General features: G+C 37.8%; 1 protein-coding gene across 4 annotated transcripts in view, besides 1 other annotated feature; it reads left to right on the top strand.

Annotated features, from left to right (window-relative positions):
- GPATCH2 (G-patch domain containing 2) overlaps positions 1 to 16,664 on the top strand; it is a 204,099-nt gene extending 187,435 nt beyond the window's left edge. For all 4 annotated transcript variants that reach the window (XM_017001592.3, XM_011509690.4, NM_018040.5 and 1 more), the window contains one exon: positions 12,291 to 16,664. In XM_017001592.3, coding sequence (XP_016857081.1) covers positions 12,291 to 12,511 — 221 coding nt within the window. In that variant the 3' untranslated portion in view covers positions 12,512 to 16,664. The remainder of the gene's footprint in view (positions 1 to 12,290) is intronic.
- Positions 6,360 to 6,879: an enhancer, noted in NCBI's record as "H3K27ac-H3K4me1 hESC enhancer chr1:217610119-217610638 (GRCh37/hg19 assembly coordinates)". NCBI's record gives its function as "activates a minimal SCP1, AML or CMV promoter by ChIP-STARR-seq in primed H9 embryonic stem cells {active_cell/tissue: H9 hESC(primed)}" and the evidence as "EXISTENCE:reporter gene assay evidence [ECO:0000049][PMID:30033119]".

Raw genomic sequence — 20,354 nt, 5'->3', positions numbered from 1 at the left:
AACCTATGTCCAATAGAACTTACAGAAGGAAGAGTAGAGAGAATAAGATGGTGCAATATTCAGGAAAATAAGAATTTTTAGAATGGAAGGAAAACATGAATTTTCATATTGAACAAGTACGAGTCTATATCAAGAAATATTAAATATAAATAAAGTCACATTGTAATAAAACTTGAGAACACCAAAGACAAGGAGAATGACTTAAGAGCAGCCAAGGAGAAAAAATATAACCTACGTAAGAATGAAATTGTACCGGTAGCAAACTTAAAAATAGCAGTACAATTGAGAATGTAAGAGAGAATATTTCCAAAGTGCTAAGACAAAATAACCAAGTGAACCTGAGTTACATATCCAGCTAAATTATTACCCAAGAGTGAGGATGAAATAAAGTCATTTCGGATAAAGACTGACCACTACTAAATTTTATACCTCTTGTAGAAGAAAACAGAATCCATTAAAAACGAATGAAATTCAGGAAGTAATGGTGAGCAAAGAAATTGTTGAGCGTGTACTAAAAGCTAAATTAATATTGACTGTATAAAAGTAATAATGATGGTGACAGTGACCATGTAGATGATTAATTTGGATGTGTAAAAGTAAGATGGACAATAATATGTAAAATGTGAGAGAATAAACAAGATATGCATGTTGACTTTTAAAGGTCATCACTTAAAAGGATAGAAATATTGCATATAGTCTTCAAGATAGTATAAGCAAGCAATAAATTCCAGAAAGGAAGAAATAAAAATTCACAGAAAAAGCAAAGCTAGTAGCATTATATAATATAGTAAAAATAAATCTAGGTATATTAGTAATCATGATAAATGTAAATGGAGAAACTACATCTGTTAAATTTAGGGATTATAATGGATAAAAGAAGAAAACTCAGTATATGCTTTTTACCATAAATACAACTAAATATAAGGTTTAATTTAAATATTAGCCAAAGAAAGCTAGAGTAGCTGGATTTATAACAAACAAAATGAATCTTGAGGTATTTCAGGAGTTAGAATACTCTCTTTACTCAGATTTGCTATGCTTGTTTAGATTTATACTTTTACCAGGAGTTAGAAATCTGTGAATAGAATAAAACCTTAATCAGTTGGGGAAATATGGCAAAAGAAATGATGTAATAGAAAATGTTTTTTGTTTTTGTTTTTCTTTTCTTATACTTTAAGTTCTGGCATACATGTGCAGAACGTGCAGGCTTGTTACATAGGTATACACATACCATGGTGGTGTGCTGTACCCATCAACCTGTCATCTACATTATGTATTTCTCCTAATGCTATCCCTTCCCTAGCCCTCCACCCCACAAGAGGCCCCAGTATGTGATGGTCCCCTCCCTGTGTCCATGTGTTCTCATTGTTCAACTCCCACTTATGAGTGAGAACATATGGTGCTTGGTTTTCTTTTCCTGTGTTAGTTTGCTGAGAATGATGGTTTCCAGCTCCATTCAAGTCCCTGCAAAGGACATGAACTCATCCTTTTTATGGCTGCATAGTATTCCATGGTGCATATGTGCCACATTTTCTTTATCCAGCCTATCATTGATGGGCATTTGGGTTGGTTCCAAGTCTTTGCTATTGTGAACAGAGCTGTAATAAACATACATGTGCATGTGTCTTTATAGTAGAATGATTTATATTCCTTTGGATATATACCCAGTAATGAGATTGCTGGGTCAAATGGTATTTCTGGTTCTAGATCCTTGAAGAATTGCCACACTGTCTTCCACAATGGTTGAACTAATTTGCACTCCCACCAACAATGTAAAAGTGTTCCTATTTCTCCACATCCTCTCCAGCATCTGTTGTTTCCTGACTTTTTAATGCTCAGCATTCTAACCGGCATGGGATGGTGTCTCATTGTGATTTTGATTTGCATTTCTCTAATGACCAGTGATGATGAGCTTTTTTTCATATTTGTTGGCCACATAAATGTCTTCTTTTGAGAAGTGTCTGTTCATATCCTTTGCCCACTTTTTGATGGGGTTGTTTGACTTTTTCTTGTAAATTTGTTTAAGTTCTTTGTAGATTCTGGTTATTAGCCCTTTGTCAATGGATAAATTGCAAAAATTTTCTCCCATAGGTTGCCTGTTCACTCTGATGATAGTTTCTTTTGCTGTGCAAAAGCTCTTTATTTAATTAGATCCCATTTGTCAATTTTGGCTTTTGTTGCTGTTGCTTTTGGTGTTTTAGTCATGAAGTCTTTGCCCATGCCTTTGTCCTGAATGGTATTGCCTAGGTTTTCTTCTAAGGTTTTTATGGTTTTAGATGTTACGTTTAACTCTTAATCCATCTTAATTTTTGTATAAGATGTAAGGAAGGGGTCCAGTTTCAGTTTTCTGCATATGGCTAGCCAGTTTTCCCAACACCATTTATTAAATAGGGAATCCTTTCCCCATTGCTTGTTTTTCTCAGGTTTGTCAAAGATCAGATGGTTGTAGATGTGTGGCGTTATTTCTGAGGCCTCTGTTCTGTTCCATTGGTCTATATATCTGTGTTAGTACCAGTACCATGCTGTTTTGGTTACTGTAGCCTTGCAGTCTAGTTTGAAGTCAGGTAGCGTGATGCCTCCAGCTTTGTTCTTTTTGCTTAGGATTGTCTTGGATATGTGGGCTTTTTTTGGTTTCGTATGAACTTTAAAGTAGTTTTTTCCAATTCTGTGAAGAAAGTCAATGTTAGCTTGATGGGGATAGCATTGAATCTGTAAATTACTTGGGCAGCGTGGCCATTTTCACAATATTGATTCTTCCTATCCATGAGCATGGAATGTTTTTCCATTTGTTTGTGTCCTCTCTTATTTCCTTGAGCAGTGGTTTGTATTTCTCCTTGAAGAGGTCCTTCACATCCCTTTTAAGTTGTATTCCTAAGTATTTTATTCTCTTTGTAGCAATTGTGAATGGGAGTTCACTCATGATTTGGCTCTCCGTTTGTTATTGGTGTATAGGAATGCTTGTGATTTTTGCACATTGATTTTGTATCCTGAGACTTTGCTGAAGTTTCTTATCAGCTTAAGGAGATTTTGGGCTGAGACAATGGGGTTTTCTAAATATGCAATCATGTCATCTGCAAACAGAGACAATTTGACTTCCTCTCTTCCTATTTGAATACCCTTATTTCTTTCTCTTGCCTGATTTCCCTGGCCAGAACTTCCACTACTATGTTGAATAGGAGTGGTGAGAGAGGGCATCCTTGTCTTTTGCCAGTTTTCAAAGGGAATGCTTCCAGCTTTTGCCCATTCAGTATGATATTGGCTGTGGGTTTGTCATAAATAGCTCTGATTATTTTAAGATACATTTCATCAATACCTAGTTTATTGAGAGTTTTTAGTATGTAGGGGTATTGAATTTTATCAAAGGCTTTTCTGTGTCTGTTGAAATAATCACGTGGTTTTTGTCATTGGTTCTGTTTATGTGATGTATTACGTTTATTGATTTGAGTATGTTGAACCAGCCTTGCATCCCAGGGATGAAGCCGACTTGATCATGTTGGATAAACTTTTTGATGTGCTGCTGGATTTGGTTTGCCAGTATTTTATTGAGGATTTTCACATCGATGTTCATCAGGGATATTAGCCTGAAATTTTTTGTTGTTGTGTCTCTGCCAAGTTTTGGTATCAGGATGATCCTGGCCTCATAAAATGAGTCTGGGAGGAGTCCCTCTTTTTCTATCCTTTGGAATAGTTTCAGAAGGAATGGTACCAGCTCCTCTTTGTACCTCTGGTAGAATTTGACTGTGAATCCATCTGGTCCTGGGCTTATTTTGGTTGGTAGGCTATTAATTGCTGCCTCAATGTCAGAACTTGTTATTAGTCTATTCAGGGATTCGACTTCTTCCTGCTTTAGTCTTGGGAGGGTGTATGTGTCCAGGAATTTATCCATTTCTTCTAGATTTTCTAGTTTATTTGCGTAGAGGTGTTTATACTATTCTCTGATGGTATTTTGTATATCTGTGGGATCAGTGGTGATATCCCCTTTATCATTTTTTATTGTGTCTATTTGATTCTTTTCTCTTTTCTTCTTCATTAGTCTGACTAGCAGTCTATTTTGTTAATGTTTTCAAACAACCAGCTCCTGGATTCACTGATTTTTTTGAAGGGTTTTTCGTATCTCTCTCTCCTTCAGTTCTGCTGTAATCTTAATTATTTCTTGTCTTCTGCTATCTTTTGAATTTGTTTGCCCTTGCTTCTCTAGTTCTTTCAATTGTGATGTTAGGGTGTTGATTTTAGATCTTTCCCACTTTCTCCTTTGGGCATTTAGTGCTATCAATTTCCCTCTAAACACTGCTTTAGCTGTGTCCCAGAGATTCTGGCACGTTGTGTCTTTGTTCTCATTGGTTTCAAATAACTTATTTATTTCTGCTTTAATTTCGTTATTTTCCCAGTAGTCATTCAGGAGCAGGTTGTTCAGTTTCCATGGAGTTGAGTGGTTTTGAGTGAGTTTCTTAATCCTGAGTTCTAGTCTGATTGCACTGTGGTCTGAGAGACTGTTATGATTTCCGTTCTTTTGCATTTGCTGAGGAGTGTTGTACTTCCAATTACGTGGTCAATTTTAGAATAAGTGCGATTTGGTGCTGAGAAGAGTGTACATTCTGTTGATTTGCAGTGGAGAGTTCTGTAGATGTCTATTAGGTCTGCTTGGACCAGAGCTGAGTTCAAATCCTGAATATCCTTGTTAATTTTCTGTCTCGTTGCTCTGTCTAATATTGGCAGCAGAGTGTTAAATCTCCCACTATTATTGTGTGGAAGTCTAAGTCTCTTTGTAGGTCTCTAAGAACTTGCGTTATGAATCTGGCAGCGAGAAGACAGGTGTTGGCCTGTCTTACTAGGTTGGGGAAGTTCTCCTGGATAATATCCTGAAGAGTATTTTCCAACTTGGTTCCATTCTCCCCATCACTTTCAGATACACCTATCAACCGTAGGTTTGGTCTTTTCACATGGTCCCATATTTCTTGGAGGTTTGTTCATTCCTTTTCATTCTTTTTTCTCTAATCTTGTCTTCATGCTTTATTTCATTTAGATGATCTTCAATCTCTGATATATTTTCTTCCGCTTGATCAATTTAGCTATTGATACTTGTGCATGCTTCAGGAAGTTCTCATGCTGTGTTTTTCAGTTTCATCAGGTTATTTATGTTCTTCTCTAAACTGGTTATTCTAGTTACCTTTTTTCAAGGTGGTTAGCTTTCTTGCACTGCATTAGAACATGCTCCTTTAGCTTGTAGGAGTTTGTTATTACCCACCTTCTGAAGCCTACTTCTGTCAATTCCTCAAACTCATTCTCCAGTTTTGTTCCCTTGCTGGCAAGGAGTTGTGATCCTTTAGAGGAGAAGAGGCGTTCTGGTTTTTGGAATTTTCTGCCTTTTTGTGCTGTTTTTTCTTCATCTTCGTGGATTTATCTACCTTTGGTCTTTGATGTTGGTGACCTTCAGATGGGGTTTCTGTGCAGACGTCATTTTTGTTGATGTTGATGCTATTCCTTTCTGTTTGTTAGTTTTTCTTCTAACAGGTCCCTCTGCTGCAGGTCTCCTGGAGTTCACTGGAGGTCCACTCCAGACCCTGTTTGCCTGGGTGTCACTAGCAGAAGCTGCAGAACAGCAAAGATTACTGCCTGTTCCTTCCTCTGGAAGCTTCATCCCAGAGGGGCACCCGCCAGATGCCAGCTGGAGCTCTCCTGTATGAGGTGTCTGTCGACCCCTGCTGGGAGTTTTCTCCCAGTCAGGAAGCACGGGGGTCAGGGACCCACTTGAGGAGGCATTCTTTCCGTTAGCAGAGCTCAAGCGCTGTGCTGGGAGATCTGCTGCTCTCTTCAGAGCCAGCCAGCAGGAATGTTTAAGTCTGCTGAAGCTGTGCCCACAGCCACCCCTTCCCGCAGGTGCTCTGTCCCAGGGAGATGGGGTTTTTTATCTATAAGCCCCTTACTGGGGCTGCTGCATTTCTTTCAGAGATGCCCTGCCCATAGAGGAGGAATCTAGAGAGGCAGTCTGGCTACAGCAGCTTTACTGAGCTGTGGTGGGCTCCACCCAGTTGGAACTCCCAGCAGCTTTGTTTACACTGTGAGGGGAAATCTGCCTACTCAAGCCTCAGTAATGGCGGACGCCCCTTCCCCCACCAAATTCAAAGCATCCCAGGTCGGCTTCAGACTACTGTGCTGGCAGTGAGAATTTCAAGCCTGTGGATCTTAGCTTGTTGGGCTTCATGGGGGTGGGATGTGCTGAGCTAGACCACTTGGCTCCCTGGCTTCAACCCCCTTTCCAGAGGAGTTAATGGTTGTGTCTCGCTGTCATTCCAGGTGCCACTGGGGTATGAAAAAAAGCTCCTGCAGCTAGCTTGGTGTCTGCTCAAACAGTCGCCCAGTTTTGTGCTTGAAACCCAGGGCCCTGGTGGCGTAGGCACCCGGGGGGATCTCATGGTCTGCGGGTTGTGAAGATCGTGGGAACAGCGTAGTATCTGGGCTGGAGTGCACTGTTCCTCAAGGCACAGTTCCTCCAGGCTACCCTTGCCTAGGGGAGGGAGTTCCCTCACCACTTGCACTTCCTGGGTGAGGCACCGCCCCACCCTGCTTCTGCTCACCCTCCGTGGACTGCATCCACTGTCTAACCAGTCCCAGTGAGATGAACCAGGTACCTCAGCTGGAAATGCAGAAATCACCCACCTTCTGCATTGATCTCGCTGGGAGCTGCAGACTGGAGCTGTTCCTATTCAGCCATCTTGCCGGCAACTCCCCATGCATCAGAAAATGTTGATGATATAATATTGCAAGTTCAGTGTTCAGTCGGCTGAAAGGGTAACATTTGGGATCAAATGTCCTAAGTTCAAGTTCTAACTGGGGTACTCTTTAGCTAATTGACTTCGGGCAGCTGAATTATCTCTCCAAACATCAGTTACATCTACAAAATGGGGCCAATAATACTCCCCTTTCAGGTTGATAAGATCAAAAGAAATTATGGATACAGAAGCATTTATAATGTATAAGGGCTACAGACGTCATTGTATTCTACGTTATCCAAATGTGTCTGTGATATATTGTCCATATACAAAGTGCGATATATTGTTCATATACAAATTGAGAGAACCTAATATTGCAATTCATATATTACTCAATGAATTTTTTTAGTGGTTTGTACAACATCTCTGCTAAAAATTCTTATAGGGAATCAGGGGAATCAGGTAAAGAAATGTGTGTAGGCTTTTGGAGTAAGCTTAACCAAAGTTTGAATCCTAGCTTACTCACTGTGTGGTCAAGGTTAAGTTACTTCAACTCTCTGAGGACCATTAAAATTTCCTTTTTGAATGAAGAGTATAAATAATGAATGTCAGATACCTAACAAATATACCACATGCTTTGTGTAGGCATGCTTTCTAGTAGGAAGACCAAAAATGGTTCTGATTATATTGTAGCAGATAAACATTCCTGTCTGACTTCAGGGCCAAAACAGTTTTCTATTTGTAAGATTTTTTTTTTTTGAAAATGCATACTGTTTGATACATAAGCATTCCATAAGAAATATGTTTCGGTTTAATTAAAAACATATGTTAATAAGAACACTTCCTCCTCTAAACATGTCAGTAACAGATCATGTCTTTTATTCTTTACAAAGTTTTTATCCCTTAAGGAAAAAAAAACTAGTTTTACATTAAATTTCTGTTATTTAAATGTCAGTGCATCATATATTTATGCACTTAACTATTTAAACTGATTTTAATTAACAAAAGTATCATGAAGTATGTCTGCAATATTGCAGATAAAATTATAGACTAGTCTGAATTAGTGAAGCATTTCTATATTAGTAAATGAAATAATTAAAATATTAGACGAAGAATAGTAACACCTACCACTTTCTCTCATCTTAAACTGTGCTTAATGCTGTTCTTTGAGTTCATAATAATAATAATCAAAAATCCATGTCCCTAAATTAGTTGCTGAGAACAGAGGACAGTATCATAACTTATCATTGTTATAATGTTCCTAATAATAATGAGAATAGCCCAGCCCCTCAGCTGGCTAGTCAAGTAATGGTGAAAAGAGTATGGGAAGAAAGAGTGATCACAAACTAATAAATGCCTTGTGAATACAAGATAGGGACAGAGGCGGAGTGCACTAGCTGTTCTATGGGAAGCAGCATGTGTCACCTCCCCTTCCATTGGCTGTTTATCCAACATCAATACAACACTTTAGGAGCCAAATTACTAAACAAGCTGCCAATTAGGCTTGCAGTCAGCTGGATAGATTAGTGGCTAAGAGAGGCCGATACAAGATTTTCATCTCTTGAGCCAATTATGCAAGTGAATTACCCTCCACGGTACTCTTTGGAAGATTTGAGGGGAAAGGACTGACTCAGCTGTAATAGATATGAGAGATCCAGCAGACAGGAGGCTGGGAGCGGAAGCAGGCAGAAAGGTTAGTAGGAGATGTATTGCTAAAGCTGCCTGAGCAGGAGAGCCTTCTAGGAAAGGTCTTAAAGGATTTTAACACTGCCAGGAGCCAAAGAAAGGGAAATTATGGTTGTGGTGTATACTGCGCTGAGGCTGAGTTGTTCCACTCCCAAGTCTTAATCTCATAAAAGAAGGATGAGAAGCCAACAGTAGATTTCACTCTAGAATCATTTTCCATGAATAATGAAGTATCTGTTACTTTTTTTTGTTTTTTGGGTTGTGTTTCTATGAGGAAAGATTTAGCATTTGAAGAATAAAATGTTCATTTTTCTTCTGAGTACAAGATAATGCTTTGTTTTATGTTATATTGTTTTATTTTTATGAAGAAGAGAAATGAAACCATCATTTAAAAAAATGAGAATGAGTTCTTTTCCATCTATATAAAAACAAAAGCATGAGAGTATGGTGGTCACCCCTGGGCTACCCTGCTTGAAATACCAACATTTTTCAATTATAATAGTGAATCAATTATCATTTGCTGTTCACTTTAGGACTGAAAATTCACCATAATTTAGCAGTTTTTTAGAAATATTTTAAATTGGCCTTACTGTTTTCTTAAATATTAAACAAATTTTAATTCTGAACTTTTGCAAGCTATCCTATCAAAAATGTGAGTAAACAGATGTATAGCCCAGAGCAGCAATAGACCTCTGGTCTGACTTTAGCTTAGGGTAGAAGTAAATTAATTCATGGCAATCACTGAAAAATCAGGGATATGAGACAACACGCTAAGGCACTGTTTAACCTGGCATACCTGATTAGCAGCTATCCAGAAAAAACTACATACCTTGGAGGTCTGTCCTGGTTACCACCATAATCATGGCTTCAAAATAAAAAATTAACTGCTTTTTTGTTATATTAAACATTTTTGACAAAAGATTTTTATGTTGTGCGTGCTTGCGTGTGTATGACTAAGAGGTCCATTTTTCACTGTCACACACAACACACATTCACACATATATTTATAATCTCTGTATATGCATTTTGCCCTTCTCAAGTGGTCAATAATTTTAGTCAAGAATTTTTCTTTGACATTGTTGGGTGTTGCCACTCAAGAGGCAAGTAGTTGAAGGTTCTTTCTGTTACATGGTAAGGTACTTGTTTCCATGAGCTATGAATCCATTTGAGAAATCCAAAGCCAATTAATCATTGGCTAGTTCTTACTCCCTTTAAGGAATTTAGCAAATGGCAATGATGTAGTCTTCTTCTTGGTCTTGAAATGCACTGAAGATTGAGAATACCAAAATGTTTAATAAACGGCTTTGAAAATCAATTGATGACTACTCCATAGTAAATAACAGGGGTGTAGGTATTAAAACTCATGTCTAGCACTTTGTGGCTTTCCTTGTTCTACAAGTGAGAATCACAGAGCGTGACTCACTTGCTGTTCCCCACAATGTGAGACACAAGTTACCAGAGAATATACACCGTTGGTTCAATGCTGACATTCCTTTTACTATTATTTTATTTTTTACTGTGAAATACATAGTTCAAAGAATACACTTAAAAATGTATATGTACAGTTTGGGTGTGGTGGCTCACGCCTGTAATCCCAGAACTTTGGGAGGCTAAGGCAGGTGGATCACCTGAGGTGAGGAGTTCAAGACCAGCCTGGCCAACATGGTGAAATCCTTTCTCTACTAAAAAGTACAAAAATTAGTTGGGTGAAGGCACACACCTGTAATCCCAGGTACTCGGGAGGCTGAGGCATAAGAATCACTTGAACCTGGGAGGTGGAGGTTGCAGTAAGCCAAGATTTCACCACTGCACTCTGGCCTGGGCAACAGAGTGAGACTCTGCCAAAATAAATAAATAAATAAATAAATAAATAAATATATATATATATATATATATATGAACAGCTTAAAGAACAATAATAAATTGGCCATTTGGGTAACCACAACTCAGGATAAGAAAGAGAACACTACTATACTCTGGAGTTTCATCGTTAATATTTTTGTTATTCTTATTGATGTTTGAGATCCAAGGATCCTTCTCTGCTGGTACCACCATTCTGAACATAGTCTCAGAGAAAGAGTAGGACAGAGAGTTCCAACTTTTTTTTGTAGTTGGGGAGAAGGTGCCGTAATAATCCTGAGTCAGGGAAGAAGAAAACTGATGATGGGAAAGGGATAGGGGCAGGGTGAGGTGTAGATTGGTGCTAAAGAGACTCATGAAACTTTGAGAGAAGTAAGTGGTTATGTCAACAGCTGACCATTTCAACCTCTGTCTAGGAAGACATGGTCCACATTTCAGAGCAGAAATATGCTAGAGCCAGGACTCAGCTGCTATACCACAGGCATTCTACTGATATTTGGAAAGTGTAGTATAGGAGGCCTATGGAGGGAATGGTGTCAAACTCTGTGTCCCTGTAAATTTGAGCCCTGGTGTAAGAGATTGGACTGGGCCGAATATGTTCTCACTAAGACAAAGGTTCTTTTAAGATAGACTTTCATCTCTCTTTTTTTTTCTCAAAGACTGCAATATTAGTTTGTCTGTTATTCACTTTCTTCTAAAAGGGGAGTAACCATAAGAAATGCTCTGATAATTAAGACTTCTGATTGCTTGTATTGGTTAGCTCCAGATTTACTATATTCCCTTTTCATACACCATAATCTAATACCTGCTGCTAGAGAAGGAACAGAAATGAACCAGTCAAGGAAAGAGCCAACCTATACCACACCTGGGACAGATCAACCAAGGCCAAGGACAAGCCCAAGCTTGCAATTGAAGGAAAGAGCTCAAGTTCTTGTATTTTTTGACTGTTATGGTGTTTGTTAATTTCTCCATCCTTGGATTTCAGATATCTAGTACTTCTGAGTTTTTCCCTAGAACAAAATATACAGTATCTATGCTCAACTTTTTCTATAAGAGCCTACAAAAAAAATTCAAAGTCTATTTTTGAAAATGTCATCAAAGAGAAAATGCTTAAAATAGATGCATTTCTCAATTACCTGCTAAGAAAATATGGTAAACAACATCTATATCTAAATTTCATGTTAAGCACTAACCAATCTCCTTTTTCAAATAAGGAATCAAGGGAGGGAAGGAGGGAAGGAGGGAGGGAAGGGAAGGAAGAAATATATCTATCTCTGGAGGCCTATGAAGGGAATTGTGGTCTATGTACCTGCAAATGTATATAATATATTTTTTAAGTTTTATAATATATATCTCTTTAATATTATTTTCCTCTATTTTCTTTCTACTAACTTATATAATCATTTAAACATGGCCATGGAAGGAAAAGGAGGAAAGGAACTAAAGGAGGCATATGTTACAGACTGAATAATAAATAACAAGGAGAGAGATTATAAGAATGTAAATTCCTAGGAATTCAAGATGCCACCAGTTGTGCTTTTTGTTTGGTTTGGTTTTAGTTTTGGTTCTGTTGAATGTCAAGGTCATGGGCAAATGTGAGATATTACAATATAGGTTGGTGATTTTCTGAATAATCCATAAGGCTAACATGGTAATGAAAATAAATCCATTAGTAGAGTACTTTATGGTTTACTGAGAAGTTTCTTTACATACATGATCTCATCTGTCCTACAAAGTTCTGTGAGATAGGCAATGTAGGTTGTATTATGGCTGTTTCACAGATGAGGAAACAAAAGCCCAGAGAGGCTGAATAGCTCACCCTGCTGTGAAGTGCTAGAATTGAAATTCTAAACAAGATCTTTCTTCCATTGTTCTCTCAACTACAAAAAGTATCCAAAGATGAATACGCAACCCCCTCTAGTACCTGGTTGAAAAACAAAACAAAACAAAACTTAGGAGAACATCGTTTTCATAGCCTAATATCTTCACCTGTGTTCATACTGATTAATGTGTGCTGTTGTTTTATCATTTCAGGATTTGTAGGTGAAAATGCCCAGCCAATCCTAGAAAATAATATTGGAAACCGAATGCTTCAGAATATGGGCTGGACGCCTGGGTCAGGCCTTGGACGAGATGGCAAGGGGATCTCTGAGCCAATTCAAGCCATGCAGAGGCCAAAGGGATTAGGACTTGGATTTCCTCTACCAAAAAGTACTTCCGCAACTACTACCCCCAATGCAGGAAAATCCGCCTAAGAAAAGCAAAGAAGAAATGTTTTACAGACTTTATTCACTATGTCCCATTGTTCTAAAATGATAACATGACTTCTGTTTTTGAAGCAAAAATCTACATTGCCTCAAACACATCACTCTAGCTTCCTTACTGCATACAGTCCTGCCATAGTGAGAGAAATGGGATTTCATCACAATTCATGGTGCTAAAATGAAAACCTCTGCACTTTAATTTTTTTCAGTAATTTCCAGCTATTTCTAGGTATAAAGAGCAGCTCGTTTCTCTTATTTATTTTAGTCTCATGTGTCAATACTTTCCGATGCTTTGCTTAATTCATGTATGTGTGCAGTGCTGCAATGCCCAGACAAACGTGAGCACACCCACCAGTTTCTAAAATGGAATAGACAGGAAAAGATTGTGTTTTATATCATCCCTATCTATTGTAACCCAAAAGACCTACCATCGCATCAGTGAAGTCCGAACACATCTTTGTTTGAAAGGCTTGTCAATTTCATATTCCTTGAATTGGCTTCTTGGTGAGGATTTTCTGACAGAGTGATACCCATCAATTTTCTATCCTTAGACAATGTAGTGTGAAGTTCACAGTTGACAAACAACAATTAATGTTTCCCTTGGATGTTTTGACAAAAATAAACCTCATCGTTGTTATCACCAGAGTGCCCTCTACCTTACTTTAATGCAGATTTTATAAATTTTACCTCATTTAGAACATAAAATAATTATTGAAAGAAAAATGTATTTTTTAAATTCACCGTGATTGAACTGTAAATTCTATTAATCCAGATGTACTTCTACCTCTGTTTTCCCAAAGATTGATATTATTTTTAAGATCAACTCAAGTGTAGTAAACGGATTTAAAATTTTAATCATTGGAGTAATTTATTACAATATTGAATCAATTTACATGAAAAGTTAAATGGCTCTCCCAGAACTCAGATTTCTGGCAATGACCCAACCCATTTAGAAGGTGAACAAAAGAAGTAAATGGTACTGATTTGCCCTTTCTAGGACCCAAGATGTTACTTTAAAACCTAGCAAAAGAGGTCGTTTGTATTACGTGCCTAGTATTGAGCTGTTTCTGAGTCATTTGCTTCATAGTATCAGAAATTCTAAATTGCTTTTAGTTTAGAAGATCTTTATTTATTATCTTCATTATTAACAACTTATTATGATGATGATTATTATCATTCTATTTATAATGGCCTTTGCTGGTTGAGTAAAGACTGAGATAACACATGTGAATCACCTTTCTAATGGGTTTTTAAAATCTTGTCACTTTCCAAAAGAGTTTTTTTGTTTCTTTTTTTTTTTTTTTTTTTTTGACAGAGTCTGCCTCTGTCGCCCAGGCTGGAGTGCAGTGGCGCACTCTCGGCTCACTGCAGCCTCCCCCTCCTGGGTTCAAGTGATTGTTCTGCCTCAGCCTCCCAAATAGCAGGGATTACAGGCACCCACGACCATACCCGGATAATTTTTGTATTTTTAGTATAGACGGAGTTTCACCATGTTGGCCAGGCTGGTCTCGAACTCCTGACCTCAAGTGATCCGCCCACCTTGGCCTCCCAAAGAGCTGGGATTACAGGCATGAACCACAGCGCCCAGCCCCCAGAAGAGTTTTTAAAAGGTGTTAAAGGAGGTTTATGCACGTAACAGACCTTTCTCAGGTGGTCCCCTAAAAAAAATCCTGCCAACTAGGGAGGGGAAGTCCAACCTGCTATTTGAAAGCCTTCACGGTTTGCCAAATGTACATTTCTTGAGAATTATCTTCTTTCCCAGGGATATTGTACCTAGAGGACAGGTTGGTTAGGGAACTATGGACGACCAGAAGAGATGTTCTTTTGAAGCATTCTTACTGGATAAAGTAACCCCATGGTATCATTACTTTCTACAAGTTTTTTACTTACAAATTTGCCATTTTTTTAACTGATATTTTCTAAATGCTCATTCTGTCTATGTAGCCGGGGGGAGATTATATACAAGTTTTAAAACTTCTTTGTGATAGTGTATTGTGCTCTGGGGTCTATTCAAAATTTGGTGTTTGAGGTTTTGTTAATTTGATTGCCTGGAGATCTGCTAAAATCCTAGAATCTCAAAAAGCCAAGTTTGAAGCCACTGAGAGCAAACAATGAGGTCATTGTTAGCCTGGTTCCACACTCCTGAGGACTTGGCTGTTCTTTTTCACCTTATTATGTTCTAATGGAAGTAAAAACCCTCATAGTGAAGAAGAGCAGTATATACACCAGACTAGTGTATAGGAACTTCTTCATTAAATATTGCAGTCCTTATGAGTGCTCTTTATTGTTGCTGTTCTGGACAGGTACAAATCTTCTGAAGCAACTTCTGTGGGATGTTAACTTAGCTTCTCTAACACCTAAAAAAATTCTTCTTTGTATTTTCAGCTAATAGAAGACAGTTCTTCTTCATCTTGACACCTAGAGCCCTCTATGTGATTCACAGAGGACTTAAAATACTTCTTACTCTGTTGAAGTGTTTAATTGTACAGAATATATGTACTCTACAGTATATGTGAATCAGCACTCAAAGCAGAGAAGTGATAACATCCCAAGCTTCCCCCATACTTCTACTGACATGCCCTCAGTCTTTAAGAAAACTCAGTACAGACCTGATGTTCTGGTTGTACCTGAACTTAATTGGAGAAACAAACGCAATTAAAATACGAATTTTTTAGTGCAAATCAAATGTCTTTCACCATCTGAAGCCCACTAATTTGTCTTTTATATATAGTTAATTTTTTGCCAGTTACAACGTCCATAGAACCCCAAGATTTAGAATGTATCATTTATATTTCCTCTAAAAGGTAGTAAGATATTTCTTCTGCTGTTTTGTGAAGCCACTCTTCTACAGTATCTGTAGCCTTATAGCAAATTAATTGGTTGTACTAAAAATTTTAGAGACTGCATAGGTCTCCCTTTTCTATCCTAATTACCTGCAATAGCCTAGAGACGCTGAGCATGATTACATTAGCAACTTGACTGTTTAAAAAATTTGTTATACTTGATAATGACCAGACTGTGTGCTGGAGTCATTTGTTTCCTTCTTTTCTGCTCCCCGAATACACTATTTAATTTGGTTACTTTTATTTTTAAACTATATGGCACCCTTTTAAATAAACATTCATTGCTAATTAAAATCTGCCAATAAATTGGTCTCAGCATTTAAATACCATATATTTTATAACTCATACTGTGGCTATCAAACAGAAGTTAACACAGTAGGGGTAAAGATATACATAATGTGTACCTATAGGTGTATTTATAATGCCTGTGTGCAGTATACAGACATAATTACAAAATACTGCATTTTATTAATGTTTATTTTAATATTGAGAATTGGCATTCTTGTAAATTGAACTGACAATTGCTTCTATTCAGTACACTTTATTTTGAGCAGATATTTCCGAAAAGAGAAAAAATCACTGTTGACATGCTTTTTAAAACTGTTTTCACCTGTATTTTGTCTTTCAAAAAGAAAAGTGATCTAAGTTGGCATTGTAAAGAAATTGTTAGCAAAGAATATTTTTTTTTATTTTTTCTTTTGGTAGAAAGTCATGTTAATAGTACAACAAAGAATCAAAGAATAAAACATAATGTTTAAGAACATTATTTATAAGTAGTCATTGTCTTTGTGCTTTAAATGTTTCCCTTTTACCTTAGAGTTATTTTTTAAAAGTTGAAAGTACTTTAAAAATTGGTTTAAATGAGTACCCATTGACAATTATCATTTAATAGTGCAGTTAAGTTCAGCGAAAAATTTCAATATCTCAAAAAAATTAGAGAAAAATATTGGTAAATGTATTTGATTCACAAATGTATTCATAGCCGATTGTGAGCTGCTCTACCACATTTTCCTGTTTTTATTGTTTCTGTGAAGCTTGATTAGACTAACTTGCTTAAGGTCTCTTTCCCCTCAAGGATTCTGTGATTCTAATGTAACAAGGTACACACGCTCTCTCTGACCACTTAAAGTATCAGAGTTCAAATCTGTTACAATCACTCCATTTCCTTTTGGAAAGTTGTGCCTCTCATAAAGCTGCTTGGACATTTTAAGTGTTTTGTAATATGCATTGAAGTGTTGAGTTTTGTTTGCTGTAAGAGGCATTTCACTATGTTGATTAAACTTATCTTTTCTCCCAAAAAACTGAGTAAAGTTGTCAAAATAAGTAGGGTTTTTTTTTTTCATGCAATAGGTATTAAATACTCATTTATTTAACAGGCTTGTAGTAACATATACTCAACTGGCAAGCGGACCATAAAGGCTCCTTCTGCTGGGTTCCTACTAAGCAAAGACTCATTACTTTACACACCTGACACTTTAAGTAGATCCAGATTTGTCTCCAGCGAGTCAGTGCCATTAACTGCCAGGAGTATGATCTACTATTGCCACTTTTAGTTTTATCTGTACATTAGAGTTGTCTCCTGTCTTTGAATTGTCAGACAGTTTAAATCATTCTCAGATCCACATACTTCCCTCCTGTTGCAATATCAGAATGTCCTGTGTTTGTTTCTTAATTTTTCAAGGCTGAAGTAAGGTTAAAATTGAGGGCTATTTTTTGTGTTTCTTTTTTTTTTTCTTTTAGTTTGAACTTTCAAGATAAATTGCTAGTATTTTAGGAGTGTGTATAATGCTTGATTTTCCAGCTGTAAGACTAGAGATAAAAGTATATTACAATAGTATCCCAAATAAAACAGCCAAAACTATCTTCTGTCTGTTTGCATCTTCCTATTTCTAAAAAAAAAGTTTCTTTCTTTCTAAAATCAATATTCTTCAATAAAAATAGAAAGACTGAGAAATAGTATACTAACTCAATATATGCTTTTCAAATCCAAACAAATTCTTCCATCACTTATTGAAGTTAATTTCTTCAAATGCCAGGATTTCATATGTATGACATGCAAATGATTTAGCGAAGAAAAAAACAACTAAAGTTCTGTTAGATGACTGACAAATCTGGGATTCTAAAGTGTCTCATTGATGGCTGTAATTCATTATGGAAACAGTATAGATGATCCACATTGCATATACGAGGCATGAAATTCATAAAATAATTTTTAGATGGTTGTGAAGCACTTGGGGAATATATATTAAAAGTTTGAAATTTATAATGTGAAAAATCACAATATTTCTAATACACTGGCCACAGCGTTGTTACGTTCTCAGCAATAAGTACAGTGGCCTGTAATCTGTAAGGCTAGATTCTTGATCGTCCCACATCTTTATATGCCTGTCCTTTTATTGTACCTCTTCTAATTCCTTTGCTGTTTTTCTAAACACACATCTTAGTCTACTTCACATGTTTTAATATTACAAGACAGTCTTCCAAAAGGAGGGAACAATTGCCAAGCACATGGGAAAGCAGCATGTTTTGACTCCCACGCCATTGTATTTCTCCATTAAGTCCCTTAACAACTCAGCTAGAAACAAGCGGCAGATTTTTTTCCCTGACTCAGTGAGTAATTGTCTGCACTGCAGTGACAGATGTGCAATATAGCAGCTTCTTCAGGAAAAAATTAACAGTTTATCCAGCATGTCAGCTCGCTCTTTTTAGTGCTTGGGAGGTCTTGGCCCCATTATGGATGATTTAAAAATTGAGGCAAGCAAAGACCAGCTGCCTGCACTGAAAGCTTTCGTTAGTCGGCCTCATCTGCATTCCAGGACTCACTTACATCCAGAAATTGGTGGAGCCCCTCTGGCCACAAGATGAGTATGGGCTGACAATGCCTTGATTTGTTGAGAGAGAGAATAAATGGGTTTTTGAGAAGATGAGGAAATATCACCATTACTGGCCAATTTACAGCATTTTATCTGTTCTTCAAACATGTCACTTTTGTTATTGTTGCATGGTAATTACATAGTGAAATGGAAAGAAAACAAATTCTGGTTACGTATTCAGATGGATTGCAAAATCATATAATCCTGATAAATGCCCATTTATGATACACATGGATGAAAGGTTCATTTTAATTTTGAATGGCTAGCTCAGCCATAAATAGGATATAGGATTAAATTCCAGAGAATCTGATTACATCAAAGCAAACAGTCTTTCTCTTTACTTCTTCAGATTCAGGGAGATACCATGAGGCATTTTCACAAACAGGATTTTCCTGAGACAATACAAAAAGTGAATTCAGAAGTGCATTTTCCAAAGAATAACTCGCAGTGAAGCCCAAGAGAGATCTTGTTCTGGGGATCGGTTGGCCTTAAAGGCTTCTCAAGAAGCCGGTGGACCAAAAGATTCAGTGTGCCAAAAGACTTCCACCTTGGAGGAATCGCCCAATTTTTTGAAGCTCACATTCCTGGTTGCTTCCCAAATCTCACCAAATATTTGGAGAGTAGAAATCAAATGCTTTTCCTTGTGTTCCTCTTTGGAAGATTATTTCTCCCCCATTCCCAAGCCAGTTATAGTAAAAGAATGTGGAAGTTTAGCTGATCATGAAAAGCTCAGAGATGCACAGGAACAAGGGGGAGCGGCACCCCAGGGCTACTACTTAAAATGTCAGGTGTGGAAAGTAATGAGTCTCTGCTTAGTAGGAATCAAGCAGAAAGAGTCTTCATGGTCCACTTATCAGGTGGGTATATATTACTGCAAGCCTGTGAAACAAAAGAGTATTTAGTACCTATTTGCTCCCAATTTTGCTGTGGCAGGGAAAAGGGGATAGAAGAGGTACATTAGCACTTAACTGCTTTGGGCTGGGGTGGGAGGTCAGGGAGTGGTGAGAGACATGAGGTCACTTCTGTTCATGACCTGTTGGTCAGAATTGCCCACACGGGCCCAGCTGAATTGCAGAGAAGCTGTAGATAGTAGGGGAGCATGTGGATATTTGGTGAGGACTAATTCTGACATATAAACTTGATAGGAAGCATCCAGACTGAAATATCAGGCTGGGCACGGTGGCTCATGCCTGTAATCCCAGCACTTTGGGAGGCCGAGGTGGGTGGATCACCTGAGGTCAGGAGTTAGACACCAGCCTGACCAACATGGAGAAACGCTGTCTATACTAAAAATACAAAAATTAGCTGGGTGTGGTGGCGCATGCCTGTAATCCCAGCTACTTGGGAGGCTGAGGCAGGAGAATTGCTTGAACCCAGGAGGCAGAGGTTGCAGTGAGCCAAGATTGCGCCATTGCACTCCAGGCTGGGCAACAAGAGCAAAACTCCGTCTCAAAAAAAAAAAAAAAAAAAGAAATATTGAAGCAGCCTATACCATATTTCATTGAATCTAAGATGCCATTGATTTTAAGATGCACCTCAATTTTATGTACCATTTAGAAAGAGAGGAAAACTACCAAATTGCAGTGCACCACCCATGACGACAATGTATCCCAATTTCGGCTTTCTGGGGAGAGAGGGTTGGAGAAAAATGTTTATGTATTTTTACTTCCCTAAAGATCCCAATGAAGGCTGGCCACTGTGGCTTATGCCTGTAATCCTAATACTTGGGGAGGTAGAAGCAGGCAGATTACTTGAGGTCAGGAGTTCGAGACCAGCCTGAACAACATGGTGAAATCTCTTCTCTACTAATAAAAATAGAAAATTAGCCAGGGGTGGTGGTACATGCCTGTAATCCCAGCTACTTGGGAGACTGAGGCACAAGAATCGCTTGACCCCGGGAGGTAGAGGTTGCAATGAGCCGAGATCATGCCACTGCACTCCAGCCTGGGCAACAGAGAGAGACCCTGTCTCAAAACAAAAAAAATAAATAAAAATAAAAATAAAAAATCCCAATGAAGATAGTCATAATAAACAGTCTTCTTAATTTCATAGCTGCCCCCACCGTGGGCACACCCTTAATAATAAACTTCTGCTGTGGCTCCAAATGATACTAGGTTT

The sequence above is a fragment of the Homo sapiens genome, chromosome 1, assembly GCF_000001405.40.
Source record: "Homo sapiens chromosome 1, GRCh38.p14 Primary Assembly".
Classification (NCBI taxonomy): domain Eukaryota; kingdom Metazoa; phylum Chordata; class Mammalia; order Primates; family Hominidae; genus Homo; species Homo sapiens.
This window is presented reverse-complemented; position numbering and strand designations above follow the sequence as displayed.